The sequence below is a fragment of the Homo sapiens genome, chromosome 11, assembly GCF_000001405.40.
Source record: "Homo sapiens chromosome 11, GRCh38.p14 Primary Assembly".
Lineage (NCBI taxonomy): Eukaryota > Metazoa > Chordata > Mammalia > Primates > Hominidae > Homo > Homo sapiens.
The window spans coordinates 125,872,364-125,883,021 of NC_000011.10; the positions used below are offsets into that span (position 1 = coordinate 125,872,364).

Genomic DNA, 10,658 nt, shown 5'->3' on the forward strand with positions numbered 1-10,658 from the left:
AAAAGGTTGTTTACTGAAACTAGAGGCAAGGAGATGAGGAGAATGAGGAAGTTAAACTTTAAAATGGAGAACAAAGAACTGAACATACTGACATACTGATCCTTTGAAGAGAAATTTAGAATTCACTGTATTTAACATCAGCAAACCAAATTCAACAACACATTGAAAAGATAATACACCACAATCAAGTGACTTTTATACCAGAAATGCATGAATGCTTCAACATTTGCAAATCAACAAATAAGATACATCACATAAACAGAATTAAGAACAAAAATCATATGATCATCTAATAGATGCTAAAAAAGCATTTGATAAAATTAAGCATCCCTTTATCATAAAAACCCTCACCAAACTAGGCATCAAAGGAACATAAATCAAAATAATAAGAGTCACATATAATAAACTCATAGCCAACATCATACCAAATGGGAAAAAGTTGAAAGCATTCCCTCCAAGAACTGGAACAAGACAAAGTTGCCTACTTTCACCACTCTTATTCAACATGGTACTGGAAGTCCTCACCAAAGCAATCAGACAAGAGAAAAATATAAAAGACATCCAAATTAAAAAAGAGGAAGTCAAATTATCCCTGTTCACTGACGATATAATCTTATATTTGGAAAACCCTAAAGACTCCACCAAAAATCGCTTAGATTTGATAAATGAATTCAGTTAAAGTTTAAAGATACAAAATTAATGTACAGATATCAGTGCCATTTCTATACACCAGTAATGTTCTAGTCAAAGATATCAGTCAAAATAATATTAATAATTTTTTAAAGTAAAACCTTCTGCTCTAAAAAACATACTGTTAAGTATAAGAAAGGACAAACTATAGACTGAGAGAAAATATTTCCCAAAAAGGACTGAATATATTTCCTGACTATGTAATAAATTATATATTTATATATTTATATTTAATTTATAAAACTATTTTTATATAATGAATTATATATTTCTTGAATGTATAATGAATTCTCATAACCTAATAACAATAAGACAAACACCACAAAAAAATTTATTTAAAGGGAATAATATAGGCGTTAAGAAATTATTTAGGCAGATAGTGAGGGTACAGGAGTCCTTGGTAAGGTTTTTCTTTTAATAGAAAGCAGCCCCCAAATCATTTCTTTTCTAACAGAAAGTAGCCTGAAAAATCAAGCTGCAAGCATAGATAAGCAAGCTGGAAACTTGCACAGGTGAATCCCGGCAGCTGTGCCAAAAGCCAGGTATATACAACAAATAGGTTTTCTTCTCCCTTCTCCTTGTCGCCATGTGTGTGGGTGTCATGGCACCGGCCAGGTGGAAACCACATCTGCCTAATAAAAGAAAGATTAGGGTGGGATGGCCAGCCTCTTTGTGGACTATGTAAATGGCACACTTGGTCCAACTAAATCCCTAGGCCCTATGTAAATCAGATACTGCCTCCTCAAGCCCTCTATAAAACCAGCCGCTTCCCACCGCAACCCGGGAGATCCCTTCGGAACCCCCTCCCTCTGCACAGGGGAGCTTTCCTCTTGTTTCTTTCACCTATTAAACTTTCTGCTCTTAAACCCATTCCCTGTGTGCCCACATCTTTGTTCTCCTTAGCGCGAGACAACGAACCTCAGTTATTTCCCCAGACAGACAACACCACTTCATTGTGGGGACTCGCCCAGGATCAGAATCAGAACAGAAGGTATATTCATCAGAGGGGTGAGTACAGGCGCAGAACTTAACTTTCAACTCTGTCCTTTCATTTGGAGGCTCTCGGCCTCCATCTTAAGTTCAAACAATGGGCATCCTATAGCCACCTAAATGCTAATAGGGCGGCCGCCATGCGGGAAGTCTCAGATGTTAGGCTTGCTTGGGAGAACATGGAGAACTTCTCAATACTCACGGATCATTGGGAATGTTGGCCATGCTTCTCGAACCAGTTTTCTCTCACGGAGGACCTAGCCGTCGCGTGGGGCTAGAAAAGGTCCTGAAGCAACTGAAGATTTCTCGCCAGGACTACACCCTGGTGTTATCTGAAGGCTTCTGGACTGACCCCACCTCCAACTGCCCGGCTGGGTGTCCGCAACAGGATCTACAGCTGTCCTATCGCAAAATTTCCTCATTTCCTATCCGCAAAGGCCATGTCTCCTATCCTCTCTGTGTATGCAGTGTTTGAGAATTTTTACAGTTCAGGAAAATAGTCCTGTTAGGAAAGATTAGCGAATGCCATAGTAACTGAGAATATAGCACAAGGGAATGCTGTTTTCTGTCATTTTCTAGGAGCAAAGAGCCCTTCTCAATAAGCATTTCTCCCTCTACCCTTCCTCTGGGAAGCGCACGGTATTTCTAGGTCAACGTCGCCACCTAGTGGAATAGGAATCCTCTCCATGAGGCACAGCGTTGGTCCATTGCTGTAACACTCTAGCCTCCCAATTCTCCTCCCTTTTTGCACCCCTATACTAGAGACCAGGCTTTATGCCCCTTCTGTGAATGCGAAAACACTGCCTTCAACAATTAGGAGTAAAATGTCCTCCAAAGCCAAATTTTAGTTCTGATACTGTCCCATCAGCAGGAAAACAGCCATTAGGTCCCTACGTTCTTTTAAGGCACACATTCTGCCCCCAGTTAAAACAGTACTTAATTAGTAAGGAGATTTTAAATCCAGAAGTTCACCAGAACCATTCTCTAAGGGTAAACCATTCTCTAAACACCTGAGATTGGGTAATTTAGAAAGAAAAGAGGTTTATTTAGCTCATGGTTCTGCAGGCTTGGAAGTTCAAGGACATGGCCACCCTGGCTTCTGGTGAGGGTGTCATAACATGGCAGACAAGGTCAAAAGAGAAGAGAACAGGTACAAAGAGAGAAAACCTGAAGAGCATCTGGGCTTTATAACAACCCACTCTTATGGGAACTAATCCATTCCTGTGTTGCCAGAGTGAGAATGCAAAGCCATTTCATGAGGGATCCACCCCCAAAACCCAAACACTTCCCACTAGGTCCCACAGCCCAACATCACCACATAGGGGATCAAATTTCAACATGAGTTTTGGTGGAGACAAACAAACCATATCCAAACCATATCCACCTTATACAAAAATTAACTCAGGATGGATCACAGACTTAAATATACAAAATGTAAAACTATATAAAACTTTTAGAAAAAAAGGAGAAAATTTGGGGGATTTGGAACTAAGTAAAGAGTTCTTAGACTTGCCACTAAATGTATGATCCATAAAAGGAAAAATTAATTAATTGGACTTAATAAATTTTAAAAGCTTTGCTTGGTGAAAGGCTCTATTAAGGGCATAAAAATACAACCTATAGACCAGGAGAACATATTTTCATACCACCTATTTGGCAAAAGACTAGTATCTAGAATATATAAAGAACTCTGAAAATTCAACATTAAAAAAATAAATAATACAACTGGAAAATTAGCAAAAGACATGAAAACAGTTCACTAAAGAGAATATTCAAATAAAAAATGCATGAAAAGATTTTCAACATTATTAGCTACATTGAATTTAATGTAGATTAAAACCACAATGGAATGTTACTACATACCTAGAGGGTGGCTGAAATTAAAAACTGACAACACCAAATGCTGGTGAGGATGCACAAAAACTGCATCATTCATACACCACTGATGGGAATGTAAAATGTACATGAAAATAAATTAGTTTGGCAGTTTCTTTTAAAACTAAACATGCAACTACCATGTAGCCAGGCAACTGTACTCTTGAGCATTTATCCCAGAGAAATGAAAACATACTCACACAAAAATCTGTATGTGAATGTTTATAGTAACACTGTTCAAAATTGCAAAAAAAAAAAAAAAATGGAAATAATCCAGATGTCCCCCAGCGGGTAAATGTTTAAACAAACTGTGATACATCCAAGCCATGGAATACTGCTCAACAATGGAAAAGAACAACAACCTGGATGAATCTCCAGATAATTTTTTGAGTGAAAAAAAAAAAATCCCAAAAAGTTCTATACTGTATGATTCCATTTAAATAGGAAGTTAGGGTGGAAAGACATTGGGTGTGGATATAAAATGGCAACATGAGGGAACTTTGTTCTTTATCTTGACCTTATCAGTGTTAATATCCTTGTGTGATATTGCACTGTAGTTTTGCAAGATGTTACCAGTGGAGGTAATTGGATAAAGTGACAGAGGATCTCTTATTTCTAAAAATTTAAGAAGTAAATCAGATACAAAGAAATATGATGTAAAGAAAACCTCATTCACGAGTTCATGTCCTTTGCAGGGACATGGATGAAGCTGGAAACCATCAGCCTCAGCAAACTAACCCAAGAACAGAAAACCAAACGCTGCATGTTCTCACTCATAAGTGAGAGTTGAACAGTGAGAACACATGGACACAGGAAGGGGAACATCACACATGGGGGCCTGTCAGGGGGTGGGGGGCAAGGGGAGGGAGAACATTAGGACAAATACCTAATGCATGAGGGGCTTAAAACCTAGATGACGGGTTGATAGGTGCAGCAAACCACCATGGCACACGAATACCTATGTAACAAACCTGCACATTCTGCATATGTATCCCAGAGCTTAAAGTAAAATTCAAAAAAAAAGAAAAGAAAAGAAATACAAGAAAACCTCACTCACAATCTGGCATGTCTAGTCTTCCTTTTATTTAAAATAGTTGATTCTCAATCCTGGATGTTGTAACTCCCACAGTAGACTTTTGGTGATGTCTAGAGACATTTTTGATGGTCACAATCGAAAGAGTGCTGCTGCATCTAGTGGGTAGAGGCCAGGAATGCTGCCAAACATCCTAAAATGCACAGAACAGCCCCCATAACAAAGAAGTATCAAGACAAGGCTGGGCGGGTGGCTCACGCCTGTAATCCCAGCACTTTGGGAGGCCGAGGCAAGTGGATCATGAGGTCAGGAGATCAAGACCATCCTGGCTAACACAGTGAAACCCCGTCTCTACTAGAAATACAAAAAATTAGCCGGGCGTGGTGGCGGGTGCCTGTAGTCCCAGCTACTCGGGAGGCTGAGGCAGGAGAATGGCGTGAACCCGGGAGGCGGAGCTTTCAGTGAGCCAAGATTGCACCACTGCACTCCAGCCTGGGCGACAGAGTGAGACTCCATCTCAAAAATAAAATAAAATAAATTAAATTAAATTAAATTAAAAATAAAAAAAGAAGTATCAAGACAAAAACGTCAATAGTGCTGAGGTTGAGAAACCCTGATTTACAACATTAATATCTTTCACTCTGCATCAACATTTACAACATCTGTCCCTCCCAAATGAGGAATCTCATTTATTATTAGTAATTTCAGGACAGGAACTAAGTGAAATAAATTACTAAGTGAAAGGTAGTAACTAAATGTTCTTCTTCTGAGGGATCCCAAGGCTAAAATTACCAAAAATGAAAATAAAGCAAAATTAATTCAACCAAACTTGATTTTCATTGTACATGTGGCAATACTAGATGTTATGAATAACAACAAATGTAAGACATATGGTGCCCCAAAAAGCTTAATATTCTTGAGAGAATAAGACACATATACTTGGAAAAGTAATAACAGTAAGGCAAATTGTGAGTAAAAATGCTTAATATGTAAGTAAGAATAATTGAGAAAAATGAGTTGGCCTTTAAAAAATAGATTTAAGAAGAAAAGAATTTTAGAATGGAAGCAATTAACAATATCTCATTTAACTATTGATTTTGTAGGTGAAGTAGCTGAAACACAGACTGACTAACTTATCCAAATTATGAGAGCAAATTACTGAGACCAGAACTTTAGTCTCCTGATTCCTGATCCTTTGTTGCTGTTTCCTGTATAACACACTGCCTTTGTGATTGCTGGAAAGACATAAACAGAGAAGGCCGTGTATGACTATCAGTGGAAATGTACATCATCTCTTCATCATCATCATCATCATGTAGCAATGCTAGATGTTGTGAATACTAGATGCTGATTCTCAATCCTGGATATGTTGACCTCACGGTGGACATTTGGTGATGTCTGGGGACATTTTTGATTGTCCATCATCATCAGAGCTGACATTTGAGTGTTTAGTAAACATACTGGTGAAGGGTTCACATTATGAAATATCAGAAAGTAAGATTGGAAAGGAATGAGCATCTCAAGAAGAAAAGATAAGACTAAACAGAATAGTAACAGTCTCGATCTAAATGTTGTAGATGTTAAATGACAAATAAAAGCAAGTGCTACAAAAATTTCAAAGATGGTCAGATTCCGATGGCTTAAGGGTAGTTAGGCAGGGCTTGGTAGAAGAGGTGAGTTGGAGCTGAGAATTCAAGAGCTCCACAGGATTTGGAAAGAGAGGAGAGGTCAATCTAGATAAAGAAGGCAGTATAGGGCACAGAGTTAAATAAACCAAGTGGCTTTCAGGACAGCGAAGAAACAAAACTAGCTAGAGTAGAGGACTTGAGTAGAGGGGAAATAAGACTGAAAAGGCACGATGGCTCCAGATTGTGCAGGAACCCAGGCAAACTGAATTTACTCTGGCAAAGAGAAGTCACTGCAAGTGCTTAAGCAGAATAACTTGATTAAAGTTTTAGGAAGATTCATCTGGCAATGACGTAGGATGGATTGAGCCAAGAGAGATATAAGGGAAGGCAGGGAGCTATTCATCTAATAAGAGTAAGAATAAAGAATAACAATACTATACAATATCTATAATGTATTTAGTTATTATTACTTGGTAGACACTGTGCTAACATGCACTTTTTAATTTAATTCTCATCACAACCCTACAAAGGAAATTGAATTAGTGAACATTTTTTCCCCTCCACTCTCACATACCACTCAACACAACACTTCCCACACCACATGTGTGGGAGTTATTTCCCCACACACCAAGCAATCAGCTCTGCAGTGGACATCAGCTGGGTGTCTTCTAGTTCAATTATGATTCTATATACTTGGAAATAGGGTCAAATCCCACAGGTTGAGGGCTCAGGCCCGCAAGAATTCCCCCCGCTTCAGATGCCAGTCACAAGTAGTAGACTGTCACCCATACTTCTGACTGACCAGCAATAAATTGGGAGCCCCTACAACCCCCTCCTTAGATTCAGTTAACTTGCTAGAGCAGCTTACAGAACTCAGGCAAACATTTTACTTACATCAACTCACTAATTACGGAGGATATTACAAAGGATACAGATGAACAGCCAGCTGGAAGAGGTACATAGGGCAAGGCATGTGAGGGGGGTATGAAGCTTCCATGCCCTCTCTGAGCATGCCACCCTCAAGGAACCTCTATATGTTCAGCTATTCAGAAGCTCCCCACAAGCTATCCTTTTAACTTTTTATGGAAACTTTATTACATAGGCATGATTGATTACACTGGTCATTGGTGATCAACTCAGTCTGCAGCCTCTCTCCCCTCCCTGGTGGCTGGGAGATGGGGCTGAAAGTCCCAACACTCATCATGCCTCGGTCTTTCTGGTGACCAGCCCCCATCCTGCAACCAGTCATCTCACTAGCATTCAAAAGCCACTCTTATCATTTAAGAGATTTCAAAGGTGAGATTTCTAGCCTGGGTGAGATGTTGTCCAGGCTAGAGTGCAGTGGTGTGATCATAGCTCACTACAGCCTCTACCTCCCATGCTCAAGTGTATTATCCCCATTTTATAAGTGAGAAAATTGAGTCAAAGAGATGCTAAGTAACTTGTCCTTATCACAAACTAGGGAGTAGAGAAGGCAGAATTTGTACCTAGATAATATGACACCATAATATGAGCTTATATTCTGAACTATGCCATGTAAACAAAGTATGGGAGGCCACTGTTTGGACTAGCTTCCTGCACGAGGTTCCAAGAGATCAAACCAACCAGAATGAAGTCGTTCACATTAGGTGCCACATAATCAAACTGACCTCTGAAACAGGCCAGTTTTCCAAAAACAGAAGATTCATAGCAGCCAATCAGGAGTACGGATTACCTAAGCTAGCATGATGAGGATGTTCCCTGTTTTAACACTATAAGGAAAGAAATTTTGAACCGACCAATCTACTTTTTGTTCCATTTCTGCTTTCTTCTACCCTTTTCTGCCTATGAAGCCAAACTCCTCTGCTCACTTCATCTGAACACTCATTCTATTTTATAAAATGAGGTGTTGATTCTGGAATCACAAATAAAAGCCAATTTGAACTTGAAGCTAAATTTGCTGTAATCGTATCTTTTGATAGTCATGTCCTCCCATATTATTAAATGTGTTACTGAAAGAATCCAAGAATGAAATAATTAGGACTGAACTAGTAATTAGTAGCAAAAAGGAAATGGAAAGGAGAGAAATAAAGCTGAATAATGTAATGTTTGTTAGAAAAATGGGGATGAGAAAGAGTAAAAAATGCTTAAGTGTTGGGAGTGATTAATACCACAGATAGAAACAGGGGAATCGCAAGGTGAATCCAGAGAGGAAAGATGAGTAATAAAAATTTCAGATATTTGGGAGGCCGAGGCGGGCGGATCATGAGGTCAGGAGATTGAGACCATCCTGGATAACATGGTGAAACCCCGTCTCTACTAAAAACACAAAAAAATTAGCCAGGCGTGGTGGCGGGCACCTGCAGTCCCAGCTACTTGGGAGGCTGAGGCAGGAGAATGGCATGAACCCAAGAGGCAGAGTTTGCAGTGAGCTGAGATTGCGCCACTACACTCCAGCCTGGGCAACAGAGCAAGACTCTGTCTCAAAAAAAAAAAAAAAAAATTCAGATATGTTGCATTTGGGAAGATGAAAAGACATCTATGTAGAAATTCTAGAATACAGCTAAGGTAGATATTAGAAACTCAGGAAAGAGGTAAGGATTGGAAATACAGATTTTGAAATTACTCCACATAAAATGGATAGTGGAAGCAACAAAACCATTAAGCTCTCCAAGGTTTAAAAAAAAAAAAAAAAACGGAAAGGATCAATACTTGGGGTACAGCAATAGTTGAGTGGCAGAAAAGAGGTGGGAGGAGAGCCAGGACAGGGTACTCTCAGAGTTCCACGAATGAGAGTTTCAGGAGAAGGCAGTGAACACACTTGGTATCACACAGGCTGCCTTCTTTCATTCTGCACTTTCTCCCTGGAAGACTTTATTCTTACCCTTTACTTAAACTACATCCACCTATATGCAAATGAGTCATACATCCATATCTCCAGGCCATATGTTTCATCTAAGCTCCATGCTCAGTCCTCATTCTTTTTTACTTCTTAAAAGTAGGCTAAGTAACTTGTCCTTATCACAAACCAGGGAGTAGAGGAGGCAGAATTTGTGCCTAGATAATATGATACCATAATATGAGCTTATATTCTACCTACTTTTATCTCCACCTGGAAGTCCCCAGGGTATCTCAAATTCTACATGCCCAAAATCTAACTCTGCCTCTCAAAACAGTTTTCTTCCTGTATTCCCTATCTCAGAAAACAGAATCCAGCTGCACAAACAGGAATCCTATGAATAATCCATGACCTGCCTCTCTTTCACATCCCAACCCCAGTCAATCCATTTCAAGTCATCATGAGTTCTAGCAACTAACTATCTCTATCCCCTTCTTGAAATCTCTGGCTATTATCCTCCTAGCCTAAACCACCACAGTCTTCCACCTGGAATAATCCAACTATCTCCCACTTGGACTTCACATACAATCTTCTCCTCTTCAAATCCATTCTCCTCAGTGCTGCCAACAGATAATTTCAAATGCAAAACTGAATATGTAGCCCTTATCTGACTAATTAGCCATGCCCCAACCCTGCTTAAAACACTTCAGTTTCTATAGCTCTTATCAAATCTCTTGCCTTGGCCTACAGGACCTGCATGATTTGACCCCTGCCTATCTCTCAGTCTCATCTCTACCATTATTTTCTTTGCTGGTCTTTCTGTTTCTTGACTCTTCCATTCTTATAGACCTTTGAGTATGCTTTTCCCACTACCTAGCAAACTCCTTTCACCCTCTTCACTTCCCTCCACGTCCTTTCACCTACTTATCCTTCAATTCTTGGTTCAGTGACACTATGCCAAATCTCCCTATTATTAAATGTTCTCATTGAACCATTTGCCTTTCCTTAGCATTGAACACAACTGTAATTTTATAATACAGTTGCCTCTTGAACAACACAAGTTTGAACTTCACAGGTTCACTTATACGTGAATTTTTTTCAACAAAAGGCAATGGAAAATGCAGTATTTGAGAGATATGAAACCTGGGTATACAGAGGGCCAACCTTTTCATATAAGTGGGTTCTGTAGGTCTAACTTTAGGACTTAAGTATGCATGGATTTTTGGTATATGCAGGGGCCCTGAAACCAATACCCAGATTATACTGAGGGACAACTGTAATTTGTGATTGTTTCATCAATGTCAATTTCTCCTATCAGACCAAAAGCTCCATAAGGGCAGAAATTGTGTCTTTTTATTCACTATCAAATCACGAAGACATAGCACAGCACTTACAACAGGTGTTCATTAAATATTTGCAGAATTGATTATCAAATACTTTTTTAAATTTTTTATTTATTATTTTATTTATTTATTTTTTTTTGGAGACAGAGTCTTGCTCTGTCGCCCAGGCTGGACCGCAGTGGCGCCATCTCCTCGGCTCACTGCAAGCTCCACCTCCCAGGTTCACGCCATTCTACTGCCTCAGCCTCCCGAGTAGGTGGGACTACAGGTGCTGGCCACCA

General features: G+C 39.5%; 1 long non-coding RNA gene across 1 annotated transcript; it reads right to left on the reverse strand.

Moving 5' to 3' along the window:
* Positions 1 to 992: 992 nt before the first annotated feature.
* On the reverse strand, positions 993 to 10,492 carry LINC03136 (long intergenic non-protein coding RNA 3136). The gene is made up of 2 exons (XR_007062935.1): positions 1,883 to 10,492; positions 993 to 1,322 (listed from the first exon to the last, which is right to left on the reverse strand). It is a non-coding gene; the product is annotated as a long intergenic non-protein coding RNA 3136 (long non-coding RNA).